The sequence below is a fragment of the Homo sapiens genome, chromosome 10 (assembly GCF_000001405.40).
Source record: "Homo sapiens chromosome 10, GRCh38.p14 Primary Assembly".
In the NCBI taxonomy this organism is placed as follows: domain Eukaryota; kingdom Metazoa; phylum Chordata; class Mammalia; order Primates; family Hominidae; genus Homo; species Homo sapiens.
Genome location: NC_000010.11, coordinates 73048113 through 73071522, shown reverse-complemented (window position 1 = coordinate 73071522; position 23410 = coordinate 73048113). Strand labels below are relative to the sequence as shown.

The following is a 23410-nucleotide window of genomic DNA, read 5'->3' as shown; positions in this document are numbered from 1 at the left end:
CTTTAATAACAGATGTAGAAGACTAAATCTGGACTTTATTAAGGAGGTAAAGGGATTATGCCTCGCCCCCCGCCGCCCCTGCCCTGCCCCGCCAAGAAAAGAAGAAGAGAGAGACGGAAAAGAGCTGAGCTAGTTGTGTAGATAAAATACTCCAAGGGTACTTACCAGTGTTTGTAAGCAGTGAAGTAAACTTATTATGCACAGGGATCAGGAAGCCTTGAAAAGAAAAATATGGCAAGTACTTGTGAATACTTCTTTACTGTGAGAGGGAAATGCCTGTGATTATTTTCTGTACTGTATAACACCTTGGGAACTTTTTTTTTTTTTTTTGGAGACAGGGTCTCACTGTCTAACTGTTGCCCAGGCTGGAGTACAGTGGCACAATGGTGGCTCACTGCAGCTTTGAACTCCTGGGCTCAAGCAATCCTCCCACCTCAGCCTCCTCAGTAGCTAGCACTACAAGCATAGACCACCACGCCAGGCCAATTTAAAAATTTTTCTTTCTTAGAAACAAGGTCTTGCTATGTTGCCCAGGCTGATCTCAAATTCTTGGCCTCATGTGATCCTTCCACCTCAGCCTCCCACAGCGCTAGGGATTACACGCGTGAGCCATGGTTCCTGGCCCCTGAACCATTTTTTAAAGGAAATCGATATATTTATTCTCAAGTAATGAACTAAGTTGTTTTATAATGTGAACCTTGGCACTTTGTTGTTTTAATCTGTAGTAGTCATTCTATAATGCTATGAGAGAGTATATATATTTTAATTTTTCTTAGAATTTTGTTTGTAGCATAAGAGATATTATAGCCTTCTATAAAACTTATAAAACTTGCTTGTAAAATTCCATATAGAGATTGCAACTGAGAGTTGGTCGTAAAACTAAAAATATTGTTGGGAACAGAGCAGGTCAAAACTCCCATGATTGATCTAATAATGGAATTATACTGGTAAAAAGCCACTGCACTTCAGCCTGGGCAACATGGCAAGACTCTGTCTCTAAAAAGAGACAAAACAGCATAAAAATATGCTTGATATAAACTCTAGCCCTCTTCTAGTTATTTGTTCATTTGTACATTTTCATTTCACGCCTGTAATCCTAGTAGTTTGGGAGGCTGAGGCTGGCAGATCACTTGAGGTCAGGAGTTCGAGAGGAGCTTAGTCAACATGGTGAAAACCCGTCTCTACTAAAAATATAAAAGTTAGCCGGGCCTGGTGGTGGGCACCTTTAATCCCAGCTAGTCGGGAGGCTGAGGCAGGAGAATTGCTTGAACCGGGAGTTGGAGGTTGCCATGAGCCAAGATTGCACTGCTGCATTCCAGCCTGGGTGACAGAGCGAGACTCCATCTCAAAAAAAAAAAAAAAAAAAAAAAAAAAAAAAAAGGCCTGGTCTCTTGCTGTTCAAAATACGTAGCTGGCTGGACACAGTTGCTCATGCCTGTAATCCCAGCACTTTGGGAGACCAAGGCAGGTGGATCGTTTGAGACCAGGAGTTGGAGACCAGCCTGGGCAACACGGTGAAACCCCGTCTCTACTAGAAATACAAAAATTAGCCAGGTGTGGTGGCACATGCCTGTAATCCCAGCTACTGGGAGGCTGAGGCAAGATAATTGCTTGAACCTGGGAGGTGGAGGTTGCAGTAAGCTGAGATCATGCCACTGCCACTGCTCTCCAGCCTGGATGACAGAGTGAGACTGTCTCAAAAAAAAAAAAACAAAACAGTTGATTATAAGTTAATGAGAAGAGAGGGAAGTCTCATACCTAACTTTTATTCACAAGTAATGATACTGATATTAAAATTTTAAACCAATTTTTTATTTCTTAAGGAGTGTTTAGCATTCATTCTTCTTGGGGTTATATAGTTATCAGTAATTGGTTTGTTTGATTTTTGCATACTTTATATAAATCCTCTAAGATTAGGTTTATATATTGTAAATTTTGGTTGATCAACGTCATGTTTGATAATTAAACTGATTTAAATATATTTTAGTAAACTAGCTTTGCTGTTGATCTTAAATATATAGTTAATATCTCTTCCTTCTCCTTGAAGAATTCCACCAAACTTTATATATTTACATATTTATATAATGTGTAATACATGGAAGAAAAAAACAACTTTAAGAGCACATATTTTACTTACCATCTGTTATCTGGAAGTATAATTGATTGTCAATGAATGTCATTTCAGACCCATAAATGTGTTCATTTCTCAAACTTAGTGGATGCACTTTGTTTTCTTGCTGTGTTATATAACTAAAAACTCATAACTATTATGTTAGGTGATCTTTACCTGCTAATACAGATACAATTTATATAACAGCGTCACAGTCCTTAAGCAACACTAGGCTTTTGGAAGATTGAACAAGTTAGAAGTATGCCAAGTCTTATTCAGTGTATTTAATTTTTTCTTGTTGAGTATGTAGAACTTTTCATGGTGTGGTAGAAAATAATAAAATAGATTTTGAACAATCCTTATTAAGTCTCTTTATGGGAAGTTTATGAGGTTCTACAGTTTTTTTTTCTTTGATTTATCTATTTCAAGGCTTTATCTCTAACCTAACCATTCAGAGACAGTACTTTCCTAATGATGAAGATCAGGTTGGGGCAGCCAAAGCTCTGTTACGTCTCCAGGATACCTACAATTTGGATACAGATACCATCTCAAAGGGTAATCTTCCAGGTAAGATCATTCTTCCATTCTATAAAATACCTATCACCTAGCTTCTCTGTTGAGTCCATTAACACAATGTTAGTATAAAAAAGACTTGCATTTTAAGATTTTAAATTGTAGTTTGTTTCATAGCCTTCGAAGACTAAAGAATCACCTTCCCTTTCTCTTAGGGCTTAATAGTTACGGGTATGCTTCTAGCTTCTAGCTTGTTACTCTGAAAGCTTGTATTGATAGAGACTAACTTAAGTAGGGAATTTTAGTGTGTAAGGAAAAGAAACTATCATTTCACCAAATGTTTTTATTCAGAACACCTAATACTATTTGAAAGCTTTGTATGTAAAGCTATAAGGGATTGATAGTCAAAGTTTATATGTTAAATAATTAAAAGCCAAGATGTTTTGGGTATCCACATATGTTTAAAGTGTTCCATAGTATGGAACATCCTACTTTCTGACCTATTTTTGGCAAAGTCCTCTTTTTAAGTTACAGTTGCTTTCATGATAATTTACTTTTGCCGTCCCTCACTTTTTCAAAGTTTGTGACTCATTACCACTACTATCTCCTGTTATTGTCAGCTGCAGAAATAAAATATGTTGTCTGTGTCTTCACATTGAAATTGATTTTCTCCGTAAGAAAAAATCACTGGGATGAGTTGTTAATCAAAATGTTTTCTTGCTCATCTCCCTTTATTTGAGGTGAAGGTATCCGTTGGTAAAAACTAAACATGGTATAATAGTAAATAAAATTTCTGTTAAGCTGGAATATAATTCCATTAATTTGAACTTCCAAAAATGTACAAATTTGCAAATTTTCAGTTTCTACTAATATTATACATTATAACGCTTTTGATAAGATTATAACCTTATTTTTAAAATTGGTTTCAGGTTTTCATAGATATTAAATACTTAATATGTGCCAGCTATTATGTTAGGTACTGGGGACACATAATGAACAAGACATACACTACCCTCGCCATTAGGGTATTTAACATTCTTACAGTATAGTAAGATGAGTGCTTGGATGGGAGAAATTCAGGATACCATATGAGCACATCAAAAGAAACCTATTGCTGGACCTCATAAGGGATGTAAAGGAAGAATTCCTGGAAGATACACATTAAAAAAATTGAGATCTAATGGACCAGGAATTAGCCAGAAAAATGGGGGAGAGGGAGACAGGAGTGGGTGTGGGAAAAGTGTTTCAGACAGAGGGAACATGTAGAAAGGTCAAAAGGAGAGAGCATATCATATTCAGATAACTAACATGTAGTTTGTATGGCTTAATGTAGAGTTCAAGAGGTGAACGCACCAGGTGGATATGGGGGTTTGGCTTTGTGAGAGTAGTGAGAGCTGAGACTAGAGAGGTAAGCAGAAGCCATCTCTTGGAGAGCTTTGTAAGCCATGTGGAAGAGATTGAACTGTCCTGAGTGCAGTGCGGAGCTATTAAAAAGTTTGTAAGGGAAATTTATGATTTTTCCTTTTAGAAAACCATTCTGGCTGCCGAATGGAGATTGGGTTGGGGCCAAGGGACGAAGAACCAGGGAGGAGGCTGTTGCAAATATTTAAGTAAGAGGTGGTAGTGGATAGATTATCAAGCTACTTATTAGAGTAGAATAGTAGAATTTGATGATGTACTTGATAGGAATTTCTGGCTTCATCAACTGGATAGATTCCATTTAACAAAATAGGGCTGGCATGGTGGCTCATGCCTGTAATCCCAGCACTTTGGGAGGCTAAGGTGGAAAGGATCCCTTGAGGGTAGGAGTTCAAGACCAGCCTGGGCAGCATAGCAATTCCCTGACTCTACAAAAAAATGAAAACTTAGCTGGGTGTTGTGGTGCTTGCTTGTAGTCCTAGCTATTTGGGAGGCTGAGGTGGGATGTATTCACACTGCTATGAAGAAATACCCAAGACTGGGTAAGTTATTTTAAAAAAGAGGTTTAATTGACTCACAGTTCCGCATGGCTACGGATGTCTTAGGAAACTCACAATCATGGCAGAAGGCACTTCTTCACAGGGTGGCAGGAAAGAGAATGAGGGCCAGCAGGGGAAATGCCAGGTGCTTATAAAACCATCCTATCTCATGAGAACTCACTGTCACAAGAACAGCATGGGGGAACTGCCCCCATGATGCAGTTATCTCCACCTTGTCCCGCCCTTGATAGGTGGGGATTATTAAAATTCAAGGTGATATTTGGGTGTGAACACAGAGCCAAACCATATCACGGGAGGATCACTTGAGCCCAGGAGTTCAAGGCTGCAGTGAGCTGTGATCACGCCACTACACTCCAACCTGGGCAACAGAGTGAGACCCCTATCTCAAAAAACAAAAAGCAAAAAAGAAAACATCCCACCTCAGCCTCCCAAATGTGTGGTGGTGGGTAATAAATGTTATTTAGATTACTATATGTGTTTTGTTTAAAAAATGATTATATTCCCATCAAAATGGTCCTGAATATTATTTAACCCTGATTTCACTGTGTTTAGTCTTAGGGGCAATATTCATTCTTTCTCAGGTGCTTTTTATCTCCTTGTTGACTTTTTTCCTCTTTTATCACAGTTTTGGGCTAGTTCTTATTGACTTTTCTTTCAGGCAAATTCCTTATAAGTAGAATAACTGAAATTTCCTAATCACATTATACCCTATAAGTGGTAAAAATAATAGCATGAATACTAGCATAAGAGTTTTTAGGCTCCCCCAACCCAGATTATTTTCTGTTGTTAATAGTCAAATATCACAAATGTGTTCGAAGGCTTCTTGTGCACCTTCCCTTGTTTAGAGGTAATGACTATTCTGAACTTGGTGCGTATCCTGTCATCTTTTTATACTTTATCATATATATTTTCCATTGTATTGTGTTTTTAAATTTTATGTCAATAGTACATCATACTCTATGTATCTTTCTACAACCTTTTTTTAACCTAATATTTTCAGTAAATTTATCTGTGTTGATCAGATTCATCTAACTGCTAATGTGGTATTGTATAACATTATTTATTCATTCTTCTGTGGATGGATGTACATTTAGATTTTGTCCAATTTTTTGCTTTATCAAATGAAGTTTGATACATCTTTGTTGATTTCTTTTTGTGGCCATGTACTCACGTGCAAGGCTTTCTCTTAGGGTATAAGAAATCATAGGGTATTTGGTTTTTCATCATACTTACCAGATGTGGCCAGATTGCTTTCCAGAGCATGTATTTATACTGTCACCAGCATTGTATGAGAGTTCCCATTTCTTCATATCCTTGCCAGCTCTTGGTTTTGTCAGACTTTAAAAATTTTAGCAATCTGGGTGTGAAATGGTGGGGGTGAGGGAGGAAGGATGCATGTATTTTAAATTTTCTTCAAACAAAAAAGTCAGAGAAATGCTTAGTGAATTTATATTGATGCCACATCACTCCTTGATTAGTTTCATCTGTTTCTTTTGCCTCTTTGGGCCTATCTTTTGAAATGCTTTGTTGGTATTTTAATGAAAAATCTGATAGGTTACATGCATTTTGACATCAGTGTTGTCCTTATAGTTCTTAAGGACTTCCTTCAGTTTTCAGATTGTTTGTTCCCAACCCTGATTTGTTGAATAGATCCATATCTGCCAAAGATATCATGCTTTTTTTTAAGCTGTGATTTTTTTTAGGGGGTGGGGGTCAGTAATAGAAAATGTCATATGTACAAAATTCAATTTGCTTCATGTGGAAGTTGAATGTTCACCCTTCTGGTCACTTGCATCACTGTCTTGGTAAGTTAATAAGGTAACTATAGCAAACAGTAGATTCTCCAGACATCTCTGGAGCTCACTCAGCTATCAGTGTACCACACTGCCTCAGAGGTGGGACATTAACTTCTAAGTGTGTGCATTTTAAACATAATTATCCCTTACAAATTAAGTTTTGATCCATTAAGTGTTCTTGTGAAGTGCAAGAATTTTTGGATTACGTGTCTCTCTCAGTTTAACGGATGATGTCTCTCTCAGTTTAACGGATGAACCATAAAAATCGATTTCTTTTTCTTTTTTGACATGGAGTCTCACTCTGTTACCCAGGCTGGAGTGCAGTGGCGCAGCTCGGCTCACTGCAACCTCTGCCTCCTGGGTTCAAGCGATTCTCTTGCCTCAGCCTCCCAAGTAGCTGGGATTACAGGTGCCCACCACCATGTCCAGCTAATTTTGTTATTTTTAGTAGAGATGAGGTTTCACCGTGTCAGCCAGGCTGGTTTTCAGCTCTTGACCTCAAGTGTTCCGTCCACCTCAGCCTCCCGAACTGCTGGAATTAAAGGCATGAGCCACTATGTCTAGCTAAAAATGTATTTCTAAATAATGTTTTTCCTATAGTGCCTATGATATTATAGTTTATTTTCTTTATTTTCTTTATTTTTTTGAGACAGGATCTCACTCTGCTATCAACCCAGGCTGGAGTGCAGTGGCACAATCACAGCTCACTACAGCCTCAACCTCCCAAGCTAAGGTGATCCTCCTACCTCAGTCTCCCAAGTAGCCAGGACTACAGGCATGTGCCACCACAAGCAGCTAATTTTTGTATTTTTTGTAGAGACAGGGTTTTGCCATGTTATCCAGGCTGGTTTCGAACTCCTGAGCTCAAGCAATCCACCCCCCCGCACCCCGCAGCCTCCCAAAGTGGTGGGGTTACAGGCAAGAGCCACTGTACCTGGCCTGATATTATAGTTTCTATTGTGACAATAAATTAAAAGACTCTTTAGTGTTAGTTTACTTTCAATTTGGTTTATTATATTCAATTTGGTATGTTCATGTCAGTCATCCATGCCTCTTCCTTTGAACCAAAGGAATTTACAACTTATTCTTGTTTCTCATCAAACTCGGTTTGCTTTTTATATGAAGCTTTTTACAGTCTTTTTCTGCCCATACCACTTTCCTTATTTCATTTTCTTCTTTGTTTTCTTGCCTACTTTTTCTTCTCATGTTCTCTACTTTGGAAACAGCCTTCCTTTTCAAATGCTGCATTACTTTTGATTTATTTTAAAATCAGATTCCCAGGCAGTCTGCCTTTAATATTGTTAATAGATCAGTAAGTAAGACAAGCAGAAATACTTTACCAAAGCAGAATAGCTAAAAATCTTCTACTATCTCTGCCATGCATGTTCAAATAATGTTGCCAGAATATCAAGTCATGTAAAAAAAATTATTGGTGCTATCTGCGTGGATTAATGGCATACTGTCATCTTATGTGTTTTGCATGTCCCTAAGAGAAACATTTATAATTGCTGCATTATGAGCTCATCTTCTCAGTTTACTAGTTCTCGTAACCGAAAAAATAATAGCATTGTCAAAATTTAATATGCATCTTTAGTTTCTGGAACTAACTCATGTTAAACTATTAAGAAGTTAGTTTCTTAGCATCTGCTGTTGTTGGACTATGTCCATCCAAAATTTAGGTGGTGAAACTTCATGGCCAGTGTGATGGTATTAAGAGGTGGGGCCTACAGGAATGGGATTTAAGGCCCTTATGAAAGAGGCTTTATGCAGCCACTAGCTCTCTTGCCCTTCAGCCTTCACCATGTGAGGACATAGCATTCTTCCCCTCTGGAGGATGCAGCAACAAGGTGCCATCTTGGAAGTGGAGAGCAGCCCTCACTAGACAATTGAACCCGCTGGTGCTTTGAATCTTGGACTACCCAGCCTCTAGAACTGTGAGAAAATAAATTTGTTTTTTTATAAATTATCCAGTCCTTGGTATTTTGTTATGGGAGCATAAATGCACTAAGATAGTATCCTTTCCTAGAGTGGAAGGCGGGATAGAGAATTATTTAAGGGAAAAACATCAAAACGTGGGTCTTCATCTTCATTTTAGGAGTATACTGATAATCAGTTACTGCCTGTAAGTGACTAATGGGGCCAGAAAAAAAAAGTGAATGGAGATGATTGTATGATTTGAATATTTGATTATATTGGGTCATGTGATCCTCCAGTGCATACACCTCCAAGCTTGGACTCTGTTTGATACTGGAATTCAACAGCTCATTGTCAGACCAGGGCATGCTTTTCTGTAGTCTGCAAATGTCTGATCACTAGCAAAACGTGCCCATAACTTTACTTCCTTTTGATTTATTTCTCATAAATGCCTTTTCTGTTAGCATCTTTTTAAAAACATATGTGACCACCATTGGATAGGTTATAGCTAAGTCCGGTTCTGGGCATTTTAGTGACTCTTTGAAGTGTATTCAATCAAAATTTATTAAAGAAACCACTGTTGTGTTTGTTTCTCTACCAGTTTTCTTTGTGATGTTATCGGACACTTAATAAATATATACAGTTTTATGTGTTTTATCAGAGAAAATGTAGGCTAGTCTGTCTTTGACCAGTAGTTTCTGGTCAAATACAATATTATACTAGTATAATATTGACTTAGTCTCAGAACTGTATATTCTGAGAGAAATGTTGTTGGAGAAGTCATATTTTCTTGTGTAGGCTTGTTGTTGTTTTTTCACATACCTGTCATTTTTTTTTTATAGTGTCAGAAAGGGAACTATGTGATTTTCTGTGTAACAGCATAAAAAGAGCCCTGTAGGACATGACTTTCTCCTTTTTCCATTATTTATAAAATTTCTTTTATTATGGAAAATATCAAATGTCACACATACACAAAAATAAAGGTAATAACATAATGAACCTATGCCATCACCAAGCTCCAGACGTTTTAAACATTTTGTCATTCTTGGTTTATCTACTCCTTCCACCCTTTCTTTCTGTCATTTTTGTTGGAGTATTTTAAGAGCAAATCCTAGACATCATGTCATTTTATCCATAAATAATTCAACATGCATATCTAACTGATCAGGTCTTTATTAAAATTTATTTTTTTGAGGCAAGATTTCACTCTATCAGCCAGGCTGGAGTGCATTGGCATGATCATAGCTCACTGCAGCCTTGAACTTTTGGACTCAAGCCATCCTGCTGCCTTAGCCTCCTGAACAGCTGGGACTATAGGTGCGTGCCACCACACCTGGCTGATTTTTAAATTTTTTGCAGAGATGTGCTATTGCTGTGTTGCCCAGTCTGGTCTTGAATTCCTGGCCTCAAGTAGGTCTTTGTAATTTATTTTTAATTTTTTTTTAGAGACAGGGTCTCACTTTATTGCTCAGGCTAGAGTGCAGTGGTACCATTATAGCTCACTGCAGCCTTGAACTCTTGGGCTCAAGTGTTCCTCCTGCCTTAGCCTCCCAAGTAGCTGGGACTATAGGTATAAGTCACCTGCGCCCAGCTGGTCTTTTTAAAAAAGTAACATAACCACTTACTATCTCCCTGCTTAACAAATCGACAGTATTTCCTTAATATAATTTAATACCCAGTCAATATTATTTCTCTGGTGATCTCAAAGTTGTTGTTTTACAGTTGTATTTTTTTAAATTATGTCTGTTAAGTCCCTTTTATTCCCTTTTCCTTTTTTTTCTTTCTCTTTATGACATTGGTTAGCTGGGGAAACCTAGTCATATGTTATGTGGAATGTTCCACATTCTGGAGTTGACTACTTTGGTGGTTAACATGTTCCTTTAATGCCTATGTTTCCTACACACTGGTTAGAGCTTGTGGCTTGATTAGATTCGAGTTAAATTTTAAAATTAACTCCATAGGTGGCGCTATGAACTTTCTTTTGAACTGCGTGAACCAACACCTAATGTCCTGTCCCACTTTTTATGATGCTGATTGATGAGTGAGGTTCAGGTGATGAGAGCCTGATCCCTCCATATAAAGTTCTCCTTAAGTTTTATCTACTGGTTTTGGCAGCCTTTGATGATCATTGCCTAGAACCACTATTTCATTAGGGGTTACAAAATGATGATTTTTTTCATTCCATTATTCCTTTTACTTTTATTAACTGGAATTCTATAAACAGGAACATCCTTCATGAACCATTTGGTTACCCTGAACTATATATAGGAAAGGCAGGGTAAGTCTATAATTAGTCTTCTTTATCAGTTTTCAGAGTAATGAGTTGGTGTCCTAACCATTTTTAGTAGTGATCTGTAATTTTCATGACATATCATGAATATGGATATTATTATTTTTTTTTTGTATTTCAGCCTATTCAGTATTACTTTGATCTCAGATTATCCCATTTTAGGCCAGTGGGGAGCATCTTTAGATAGGCTTGTTTTTTTGAATTGACTGTGTTATTATTCTTTGATAGAGAGGAAACTTCCTTGCTTTCTGGCACAGTTTTTTTTCCAGGTTTCTATTCCAGAGTAGGAACTAGGCATTTCTTCAATGAGCCTTGGCCCTTCTTTTTCCCCCCTTAAGAGATAGGTTCTTGCCATGTTGCTCAGGCTGGAGTGCAGTGGCTATTCACAGATGCGATCATGGTGCACTACAGCCTGGAACTCCTGGGCTCAAGTGATCTTCCTGCTTCAGCCTTCTGAGTAGCTGGGACTACAGGTTTTCCACTCCTTGCCTGGCAAGGCTTGATTGCTTTGAACAGGGATGACATTTAAGCAGCAGAGTCTAGCTAGGTTCTAGGGGTGATTATTGCTATATAGTTTGTCATAAACAGAGACAGGAAATATGTAAGTTCATATTGTTCAAATTGAAAACCACAGGGTTTATATTTATATCTCTTTTCTTCTGAAAATTTGGTTCCTAAGGATATTAACATGATTATTCTTTTATTCATACTATTAACTCATACTATTTTATTCATACTATTAATAACATTAAGACTACTGAATACAGGTTTTTTTGTACTTTATATCCTTAAAATATATCACTCTAGATATGATCAGTCAAAATCTTGTTTTAAAGACATCTGAGGTAATTCATTTCTCTTTGTGGCTATGCCCTTAACATGTTATACAGTTGAGTTCATTTATTTCATTTCCTCAGATTTTTAGGGATTGTCCTCGTTTTTTCTTTTGATTCATTGTTTTCATTTGTTTGTTTTAGAAACAATATCTTGTTCTGTTGCCCGGCCTGGAGTGCAGTGGCATGATCATAGCTCAGTGCAGCCTTGAACTCCTGGGCTCAAGGGATCCTCCTGTCACAGCCTCCCAAATAGTTAGGCCTACAGGCATGCAAGTACCACCATACCTGGCTATTTTTTTTTATTTTTTATTTTATTTATTTTTATTTTATTATTATTTTTTTCAGATGGAGTCTTGCTCTGTCGCCCAGGCTGGAGTGCAGTGGCGTGATCTCAGCTCACTGCAAGCTCTGCCTCCCGGGTTCACGCCATTCTCCTGTCTCAGCCTCCTGAGTAGCTGGCACTATAGGCGCCCGCCACCATGCCCGGCTAATTTTTTGTATTTTTAGTAGAGATGGGGTTTCACCATGTTAGCCAGGTTGGTCTCGATCTCCTGACCTCATGATCCACCTGCCTTGGCCTCCCAAAGTGCTGGGATTACAGGCGTGAGCCACTGCGCCCAGCCTTTTTTTTTTTTTTTTTTTTTTTTTTTTTTTTTTTTTAAATATATTGTCTCATTATTTTGCCCGGGGTTGTCTTGAACTCCCTGGCTCAGGAGATCTTCCTGCCTTGGCCTCCCGAAGTGTCAGGATTACAGGCTCTAGCCGCCATGCCCAGCCAATTTATTGTTTTTAATTATGTAAAACTTTTAAATTCTTTGACAGTCCAAACTAGACTAATAAGGTACATTAATAGAAGTCTCACTTTCATTCTTATACTTTTCAACCTATTCCCTTCCTTTTTCTATGTGACCATTTTGTTAGTTTTACTATTTCCAGTTTTTTAAAATACAAGCAAATATATATCTACTCCTATATTCTCTCAACATAAACACAAAAGATAGCGTACTGGCTGGGCGTGGTGGCTCACACCTGTAATCCCAGCACTCTGAGAGGCCAAGGTGGGTGGATCACCTGAGGTCAGGAGTTTGAGACCAGCCTGGCCAATATGGTGAAACACCATCCCTACTAAAAATACAAAAATTAGCTGAGCGTGGTGGTGGGCACCTGTAATCCCAGCTACTCAGGAGGGTGAGGCACGAGAATTTCTTGAACCCGGCGGGGCACGGAGGTTGCAGTGAGCCATCGCACCACTGCATTTTTAGCCTGGGCAACAGAGTGAGACTTCGTCTCAAAAAAAAAAAAAAAAAAAAGCATACTATAAATACTGTTATGTACTTTGGTGCTTTAATTTATTGATATACCCCAGTCATTACTTCATGTATAGAAATCCTCATTTCTTTTTATAGCTACGTGTTATTACTCTATTTTGTGGAGGTTCTACAGTTTTTTTTACTTATTGTCAGTAGAGGATGATTTATTGGGAAACTTAGAGATGGAAGCATGGTCTTGGGCAGTAGCAAGACAGGTAGATCTCTGCACCGTTAGTCCCCAGACCCATGACTTAAGTGTCATAGGGAAAGGATGTACATGCTCTGTAGGGACAAAGGCAAGCTCCAGAACAGGCAAGAATGCTATGCGTGTCATAGCCTGTAATTTTTGTGATAACATCAAGGTTGCTTTGCTCTAAAGGCAGGATTTATAGTGGGTACATGTTCCTACACTAAGGACAGCAAGTAAAGTAGAAATCAGCAGGCATTCGTGGGACTGAGGTTAATCAAAAGTGAACATGGTAGATTAGCATGCAAGATGGAGTCACTGTTGTCTTCACACCCATCAGTTTCTACTTTTTTCATCCCATTTCTTAATAACCATCTAAAGATTGCCACCCTGCTAGAGCGCGTCCCATGACCATCCCCTTTCTTTTTTCCCTTAGTTTCACCCCTATCAATGTTGTCTTTATTCACCTTTTTTTTTTTTTTTTTTTTTTTTTTTTTCTGGACGGAGTCTTGCTCTGTCACCCAGACTGGAGTGCAGTGGTGCAATCTTGGCCCACTGCAACCTCGCTTCCCGGGTTCAAGCGATTCTCGTGCCTCAGCCTCCCCAGTAGTTGGAATTACAGGCGTGTGCTACCATGCCCGGCTAATTTTTTGTATTTTTAGTAAAGACGGCCTTTCGCCATGTTGCCCAGGCTGGTCTCGATCTCCTGAGCTCAAGTAGTCCGTCTGCCTCCCAAAGTGCTCAAATTACCGGTGTGAGCCACTGTGCCCAGCCCTTTTCTTTAATTTAGACTGGCATTTATGTATACCATTTTCATTTTTCATCATTCTTTATTGTACCTCAGACTTTCCTTTTGGAATTTTCCTCCTTGAAACACATTGTTAAGAAGCCCTCAAATGTGCTTTGTTTGGCTTGGAATTCTTTGTTTCCTGAATCTGAACTTCCATGCATTTTAATTTTGGAAATTTTTCTACCATTATCTCTTTAAATACTATCTTATCTATATTCTTTCTGTTCTCTTCTTCTAGAATTCCAAGTAGACAGACTTTAGTTTTTTTGTCTTTGTGTGTGTTTTGTTTTTGTTTTTGTTTTTTTTAAGAGATGGAGTCTCGCTCCGTCGCCCAGGCTGGAGTGCAGTAGCGCCATCTTGGCTTACTGTAAGCTCTACCTCCCAGGTTCATGCCATTCTCCTGCCTCAGCTTCCCAAGTAGCTGGGACTACAAGCACCCACCACCACGCCCGGCTAATTTTTTGTATTTTTAGTAGAGACGGGGTTTCACCATGTTAGCCAGGATGATCGCGATCTCCTGACCTCATGATCTGCCTGCTTCGGCCTCCCAAAGTGCTGGGATTACAGGCGTGAGCCACCGCGCCCGGCCTTGTCTTTGTGTTTTAACTAGCATTTCATGTTTTTATCTCTCTCTACTGCATTCTGGGTAGTTTATGCCATGATAATTTATTCAGCTCTCTCTGCTGGATTTATTATTTTCTTTTTAGTTGTGTTTAATCTATTTTTTTTTTTTTTTTCGAGACAGCGTCTTGCTCTGTCACTCAGGCTGGAGTGCAGTGGCGTGATCTTGGCTCACTGCAAGCTCTGTCTCCTGGGTTCACACCATTCTCCTGCCACAGCCTCCTGAGTAGCTGGGACTACAGGCATCCGCCACCACGCCCGGCGAAGTTTTTGTATTTTTAGTAGAGACAGGCTTTCACCGTGTTAGCCAGGATGGTCTCAATCTCCTGACCTCATGATCCGCCTGCCTCAGCCTCCCAAACTGCTGGGATTACAGGCGTGAGCCACGCACTCGGCCTTAATCTACATTTTAACCAGCCTAATGAGTTTTGAACTGTCGTTGGTTATCTTTATGATTTTTGGAAGGTCTTTTGTTTTTCCCATTCCAATATGCCTGCTCTTTGTTGGGGTATTTTTTATTTTTATTTATTAATTTATTTATTTTTTGATGGAGTTTCATTGTTGTTGCCCAGGCTGGACCGCAATGGCGTGATCTTGGCTCACTGCTACCTCTGCCTCTCAGGTTCAAGTGATTCTCCTGCCTCAGCCTCCTGAGTAGCTGGGATTACAGGCACCCGCCACCATGCCTGGCTGATTTTTATATTTTTAGTAGAGACAGGGTTTCACCATGTTGGCCAGGCTGGTCTCGAATTTCCGACCTCAGGTGATCCGCCTGCCTCGGCCTCCCAAAGTGCTGGGATTGCAGGCGTGAGCCACCACGCCTGGCCTAGGATATCTTATTTGTTCATATTTTCTATTTTTAAATTTATTATAATTTTCTCTATAGCATTGAAATTATCTTTCTTAATGAAAAATGCTATTCCATTAAATTGATATATCTGCCTATATATTCCTTATTTCCTCGCTTTTAGCTTATTACAGTTTTTAGCTATAATATGTTTCAGCCACAAAAATCTTTTATACAGGAAGGTCCCCAACCCCTAGTACTAAATCTCAATGAAATAACTGAAAAATAGTAGTATTAAGTCATAGAGTTTAAATTCTTCTTTTCTCTTATTGCTGAATTTCTTAAAAGCAAAGTTACCAGTTTACATTGCTGCTTCCTCCCACTATTAGGTTTTGCCATTTAATGTTATAACATCAGGAGCACAAACTTCTGGAGGTGTATGGAACAGATTCCATTTCTTACTTTTAAACATGTGACCTTGGACATATTAGTTAACCTCTATTTTAGTTCCTCATCTGTAATAAGATGGCTTTGAGGATTAAATAAGTGACAAATACTTGGCAGATAGTAAGACCTCAATAAATCTAGGCCATTATTTTAAAATATTTTTATTTGTGGTGGTTTTAATTTCTTCAGTGATGAATGAGACTAAGTATTTTCTGAAGTGTTTTCTATTTATATTTTATCTCATGTGAACTATCAAATACCTCCTTTTCTTAAAATAGAAGTTTCACTGCAGAAGCGAGTTGACATAATAACACCAAAAGCACAAGTGCTGAAAGATTAATAAGTTGGACTTCATCACAGTTTCAAAAGTGCACCATCAAGAGAGTGAAAAGACAACACACAGAATGGGAAAAATATTTTAAAATCATGTAGCCGAGCCAGGCACCTGCAGTGGCTCACACCTGTAATCCCAGCAGTTTGGGAGGCTGAAGTGGGTGGATCACGTGAGGTCAGGAGTTCAAGACCAGCCTGGCCAACATGGTGAAACCCCGTCTTGACTAAAAATACAAAAATTAGCCAGCATGGTAGCACACGCCTGTAATCCCAGCTACGTGGGAGGCTGAGGCAGGAGAATCGCTTGAACCTGGGAGATGGAGATTGCAGTGAGCTGAGATCGTGTCACTGCACTCTAGCCTGGGTGACAGAGTGAGACTCTGTCTCAATAAAGAACTCTAACAGAGTGCAAGCAGTGGTGCAGTCATAGCTCACTGTAACCTTGAACTCTTGGGCTTAAGCATTCTTCTTGCCTTAGCCTCTCAGCTAGCCAGGACTACAGGTATGCACCACAATGTCTGGCTAATTTCTAAAAATTTTTTTTTTGTTAGATATGAGGGTCTCATTACGTTGTCCAGGTTCGTCTCAAACTCCTGGCCTTAAGCAGTTCTCCTTCCTTGGCCTCCCAAACACTGGATTACAGGTGTGAAACCACCGTGCCTAGCCACCAAATTTTTTAAATGGGCAAAAGCTTTGAAAAGGTATTTTTTCCAAAGAAGATACACAAATGGAAATAAGCACACGATAATAGGCCCAACATAACTAGTCACCAGGGAAATGCAAATCAAAACCACAATGAAATGCCTCTTCATACTCACCAGAATGTCTACAATAAAAAAGGACAATAACAAGCATTAGCAAGGATGTGGAGAAATTGGAATTTCATACCTTGTTGGTGGGAATGTAAAATGATGTAGCCACTTTGGAAAACAGTTTGGCAGTTCCTCAAAACGTTAAGCGTAGAGTTGCTATAGGACCAGTCAGTTCCATTCATATGTATATACTCAAGAAATGAAAACATGTTCACATAGAAACTTACACACAAATGTTCACAGTAGCATTATGTCCAGAATAGGCAAATTTGTAGAGACAGAAAGTAGATTAGTGGTTGTCTAGGGCTGGGGCAAGGTGGGGAAGTTAATGGGTAGTGACTGTTAATGGTTACAGGGTTTCTTTTTGGAGTGATGAAAATGTTCTAAAATTAGATTGTGGTGATGGTTGCTCTACTCTGTAAATATACTAAGAACTACTGTAATCTTTCAATGAGTGAATTTATGGTATTTAAATGACATATTAATGCTGTTTAAAAGAAAGAATCCAGTTGACGTATTTACCTCTCCTCCTGTACATTCATCTCTTGCCCAGATTGTTGGTTAGGGATGAGATAGATATATCTCATATGGTGGCCGGGCGCGGTGGCTTATGCCTGTAATCCCAGCACCTTGGGAGGCCAAGGCGGGTGGATCACCTGAGATCAGGAGTTCGAGACCAGCCTGATCAACTCCATCTCTACTAAAAATACAAAATTAGCTGGGCATGGTGGCACATGCCTATAATCCCAGCTACTCAGGAGGCTGAGACAGGAGAATCACTTGAACCTGGGAGGCGGAGGTTGTGGTGAGCTGAGATTGTGCCATTGCATTCCAGCCTGGGCAACAGAGCAAGACTCTGTCTCAAAAGAAAAAAAAAAAAAGAGATGTATCTCATATGGTAATTCCTACTGTTAGGAAATAGTATATTTCAACTTAATGGATGTTTCATTTTGGTATGATGGCTGATAATTTCAGTCTTGGGTTCTCTAGGTTCTGTGTCCCCTAATACCAGCTGTGTGATTCTTGTTTATCTACATTATATTATAGATTGTTCCATTGTTTATAAAATTAGGGTAATTTTTGCTCATCCAGAGGATTATTGTGAACTTCAAATAGAAGTGAGACAGCATTTTGAAAGCTGTGTAGTCCTAAATAAATACACAGTAGTGTTAAGATTCCTAAAGTTCTCTGTATTTTCTTTTCATAGGAGTGAAACACAAATCTTTTCTAACGGCTGAGGACTGCTTTGAGTTGGGCAAAGTGGCCTATACAGAAGCAGATTATTACCATACGGAACTGTGGATGGAACAAGCCCTAAGGCAACTGGATGAAGGCGAGATTTCTACCATAGATAAAGTCTCTGTTCTAGATTATTTGAGCTATGCGGTATATCAGCAGGGAGACCTGGATAAGGCACTTTTGCTCACAAAGAAGCTTCTTGAACTAGGTATGTTATCTGGGCCTAATTTAAGGTTATAGTTATATTGAGGGATATATATTCTCTATTTTTCTGTCTTTCCCTCATTTATATATGGTATTTTCTTACTTTTTAGAAGTCAGGAGCTTTACTTGTTAAATATACATTATTCTCTTCTTTATTCTCAAAGTAAATGATGGCTGATTTTTCTCACCTAATAGTGCTATAACAGTGGTTGTGTTTCTTTGCTCTATATTCTCCAGGAATTTCAAAATTGAAGCTAACGTAACTAAGTCAAAAATGTTTGTTTACCATGTTGCCATTTTAATCAGTTTCCTTTGAAGGGTGTTATGTTTTATTGCATTTCATATTTTAAAATAAAGTGATTTAAAATAGATGGGCTGAAAATATATTTATCATATTCAAATGTTGGAAAAATACACCTTAGGAGAATTTTATCAGTAGTACTTTGAACAGAGATGTAGTGTTTCTTCAAGTATGGCCCAAGCACCACGTGCATCAGAATTACTTGGATACTTGTTAGAAATGAAAATTTCTTGATCTCTACCCTAGATCTGCTAAATTGTAATCTCTGGAGATGGAGTCCAGAATTTGTATGATAATAAGTTTAGGTGGCCTTTGGTATATAACGAAGCTTTAAAACTTTAAAAATTATTTTTACAAAATAGGAAAATATGTGCATGTTAGAATCAAACAGCTCAAAAGGATTGATCTGCTGAAAATGAACTTTGGATAATTGGGTTATTTCTTAGTTGGGTAATAATAAATCAAGATATTGGTTCAAGTAATCTTTTTTCCTTTCAGTATTTTCCAGTGGTATTTCCTCTTGACTTAAAATATACTTTGTACTCATTATAGAAAATTTATTAAAACAGAGAAAGATACAGAAGAGTCATCTATAAGCCAGTCACTCAAAGACACCTACACATTTGTTTCCTTTTAGTGTATACGCCTCTTCCCTGCACACACTTTTCCTTTGCTTTTACAAAATTAGGTTAATATTGGATATCGTAACATTTATTGTGAGCAGTTTCTGAAGGACAAGAAATATTTTACAATCTAAGCCTAGGTATCCTAAACACTTAGTTACTGTCACAAGTGAAGTCTCTATATATTCTTCTGCCTTTTTATTTTTATGTGTGTGTGGTTCTTTAGTTTTTTTTTTTTTTCCTCTCAGATGGGTAGCGTAGTCATCTTTTCTTCTACTAAAAGGTAGTTCAAAATTATGACTAGCAATTCTGAGGCAGTTAGTGGATTCCAGCTTATTCGAAAATTATATCTTTAGTTTCCCTTTTCCTTCTTACTTAGAAATTTGGGACTGAACTTCACTCAGCCCTTAGAAGTAGGCTACATTTATAATGTATCTGTGGTAAAGGTTGCTTTTGAATTGCTTATCCCCTGTCTTCCTCATGTGATTGTTTTTCTGTCTTGGAAAAATCTTTTTCATTTCTTAAAATAAGTAGGATGAGTAAGATTTTAAACTTCATTTGACATCAAATTGAACTTAGTTCCTTTAGCTGATTAGTAAATTCTCAAAGTAAAAGCACCAGTTGCCACCTTTAAATAAATAGCTGTTTCTGTCTCCAGAACTGTCTTTTTTGAGACAGGGTTTCACTCCTTTTGCCCAGGCTGGAGTGCAATGGCATGATCTCGGCTCACTGCAACCCCCGCCTCCCGGGTTCAAGTGATTCTCCTGCCTCAGCCTCCTGAGTAGCTGGGATTGCAAGCACCCACCACCACGCCCAGCTAATTTTGTATTTTTAGTAGAGACGAGGTTTCACTATGTTGGTCAGGCTGGTCTCGAACTCCTGACCTGAGGTGATCCACCCACCTCAGTCTCCCAAAATGCTGGGATTACAGGTGTGAGCCACCAGGCCTGGCCCAGAACTGTTTTTATATAGGTGACTATATGTCCTGATTTACTTGGGGGCAGTAGTAACTTATACCTATTATTTTGGTATAATAATTTTTATTAGTGCCTCCTTTCACTCACAACAGCAACCTGGTTTGGAAGATAAATTATAATGTCTCCTATTTTTATATTACTATATTCTGATGCTTGAACAAGCATGAACTTACCCATGGACATGCTTTGTTTCTCTTCTAATAGATCCTGAACATCAGAGAGCTAATGGTAACTTAAAATATTTTGAGTATATAATGGCTAAAGAAAAAGATGTCAATAAGTCTGCTTCAGATGACCAATCTGATCAGAAAACTACACCAAAGAAAAAAGGGGTTGCTGTGGATTACCTGCCAGAGAGACAGAAGTACGAAATGCTGTGCCGTGGGGAGGGTATCAAAATGGTAAAGTGGAAAAGCCAATTGTGTGTATGTGAATGTGTGTGTGTATGTGTTTGTACACAGTTCTGGAGAGAATCAGTTATTTTATATTTAAGCCTATGTGATAAAAATCAGAATGACTGCATAAAATATTACAGTATGTCAGCTTAGGCAACATAGACCCCATTACAAAAAAATTTAAAAATTAGCTGGGCATGCTGGTGTACACTTGTAGTCTTAGCTACTCAGGAGTCTGAGGTGGGAGGATCACTTGAACCAGGAGTTCAGGGGCACAGTGAGTTATGATTACACCACTGCACTCCAGCCTGGGCTACAGAATAAGACCCTGTCTCTAAAAAACTTTTTTTTTTTTTTTTGAGATGGAGTCTCACCCTGCCACCCAGGCTAGAGTGCAGTGGCATGATCTCGGCTCACTGCAAATTCCGCCTCTTGGGTTCAAGCGATTCACCTGCCTCAGCCTCCTGAGTAGCTGGGATTACAGGTGCCCGCCACCATACCCGGCTAATTTTTGTATTTTTAGTAGAGATGGGGTTTCACCATGTTGGCCAGGCTGGTCTCAAACTCCTGACCTTGTGATCCACCTGCCTTGGTCTCCCAAAGTGGTGGGATTACAGGCGTGAGCTGCTGTGCCCAGCCTAAAAAACTTTAAAAAAAAAATTACAGTATACCATTCTCTCTCTGTGGGTGCCACATTTAATATGTTCCAATTATTAGTAAAATAGCTTTAAAATAAAGCTTGTGAATCATATACTATTACATATGTTTGGGGCAATATTACCTTTTTCATTTGATCCTTCCAGGGTGAAGGATCAAATAAGTTTAAAGGAAGTGATAGTTTTTTTTATATTTAATGCAAGAGAGATTTCAGCAGTATTTTTTTTTTTTTTTTTGAGACAGAAACCCACCCTATCACCCAGGCTGGAATGCGGTAGCGCAGTCTCGGCTCACTGCAACCTCCGCCTCCTGGGTTCAAGCAATTCTTGTGCTTCAGCCTCCCAAGTAGCTGGGACTACAGGCATTCGCCACCATGCCCGGCTAACTTTTTTGTATTTTTAGTAAAGACGGGGTTTCCTTATGTTGGCCAGGCTGGTCTCAAACTCCTGACCTCAGGTGATCCTCCCGCCTCGGCCTCCTAAAGTGCTGGGATTACAGGCGTCAGCCACCACACTCATCTGTTCAGCAGCCTTAATTAGAGACAATAACACTACTCTGTGCATCTTATGAGATACAACAGATTCATCTATACAATAATCCCTTGTAGTTTTGCTCCTAGTTAATCTTCACAAGATTGCTTAGTGAAATGCTTTAGTCTGTTTAATACTGAAAATGCAGAAAGTTTTCAACAGATTTTGTCTTTAATATTTCTTTAAAATATATCTATAAATATTACTTTGTTTATTGTATATGTATTTATAACTCAGAATTCCAGTTCTATAGATGTTAATAGATACTAGGCCAAAAGCAAAAAGAACAAAGTCTGGGGAACATTTGTTAAACAAAGTTGAACATAGGTTTTTGTTTAGCCTCAAAACTTCTCAGAACCTTTTTATGATAATGTGCATTGTGATATGATATACATTCTTTCTCAATATTAATTGATTATGGAACCTTTTGAAAAGGAATTTCATGTGGTATTAGTTTTCAGTTGAACACAGGCTTGCATAGAAGGAGTTAGTGAATTTTTGGAGTAAGTACTTTTAGGTGTAAACATTTGAAAAGTGTTTAACATTTTCTTTACTACTGGTAAACTCAAGCTGGGCTTTGCATTTCGATATTGATGACTGTTGACAGCTTAACCACTAACAGCAAAGTATACAATACGTATGGTGACACTTTCAATAGATAGGTTCATGGAGTCCTAGGAGGACATGCTTGAGCTAATGAGTAAATACAAAGATGGTGACACTGTTAGACTCATTATTTTCTTTTTTTTTTCTCTGAGACGGAGTCTCGCTCTGTTGCTCAGGCTAGAGTGCAGTGGCGCCATTTCGGCCCCTGGGTTCACGCCATTCTCCTGCCTCAGCCTCCTGAGTAGCTGGGACTACGGGCGCCTGCCACCACGCCCAGCTAATTTTTTGTATTTTTAGTAGAGATGGGGTTTCACCTTGTTAGCCAGGATGGTCTTGATCTCCTGACCTCGTGATCCGCCTGCCTCGGCCTCCCAAAGTGCTGGGATTACAGGCGTGAGCCACTGCACCTGTTCCCTCATTAAACATTTTCTTTTCTGTTTCATTACTAAATATTTTAGTATGTATCTTTTAAAGATACAAATTCAAAATAACTACAATACCATTATCACCTAAAAATTCACAAGTTTTGTAATATCAAATATCTAGTGTTCAAATTTCCGCAGTAAGCAGAAATTTTTATTGCTCTTAATAACTCTTAAGGAACAAAATAAAACTGTAGATATAAAACAAAGAGTCTGCTAATTTCCCGGTTTGTTAATGTAACACATACTCAACTTTGCCTAAGATCAAAAGAACATTCTTGCCAGGCACGATGGCTCATGCCTGTAATCTCAGCACTTTGGGAGGCCAAGGTGGGTGGATCACCTGAGGTCAGGAGTTCAAGACCAGCCTGGCCAACATGGTGAAACCCCATCTCTACTAAAAATACAAAAAGTTAGCCGAGCATGGTGGCAGGGGCCTGTAATCTCAGCTACTTGGGAGGCTGAGGCAGGAGAATTGCTTGAACCCAGGAGGCAGAGGCTGCAGTGAGCCGAGATCAAGGCATTGCAGTGCAGCCTGGGTAACAGAGCAAGACTTTGTCTAAACAAAAACAAAAACAAAAAATTCTTTTTCTCAGAATAGCTACATTCATCTCATCATTATATAAAAGACTTACTAAAAATTAAAGCCTTGGATTTGACTCTAGGTAAAGTGCATGGAGAATAAACATGAATCATTATTTGTTTTAGTATACTATTAGTATAATAATTGA

General features: G+C 38.7%; 1 protein-coding gene across 4 annotated transcripts in view; it reads left to right on the top strand.

Annotated features, from left to right (window-relative positions):
* P4HA1 (prolyl 4-hydroxylase subunit alpha 1) overlaps positions 1-23410 on the top strand; it is an 89650-nt gene that overhangs the window by 25344 nt on the left and 40896 nt on the right. For all 4 annotated transcript variants that reach the window (NM_001142596.2, NM_000917.4, NM_001017962.3 and 1 more), the window contains 3 exons: positions 2540-2677; positions 17933-18172; positions 20274-20470. In NM_001142596.2, coding sequence (NP_001136068.1) covers positions 2540-2677; positions 17933-18172; positions 20274-20470 — 575 coding nt within the window. The remainder of the gene's footprint in view (positions 1-2539; positions 2678-17932; positions 18173-20273; positions 20471-23410) is intronic.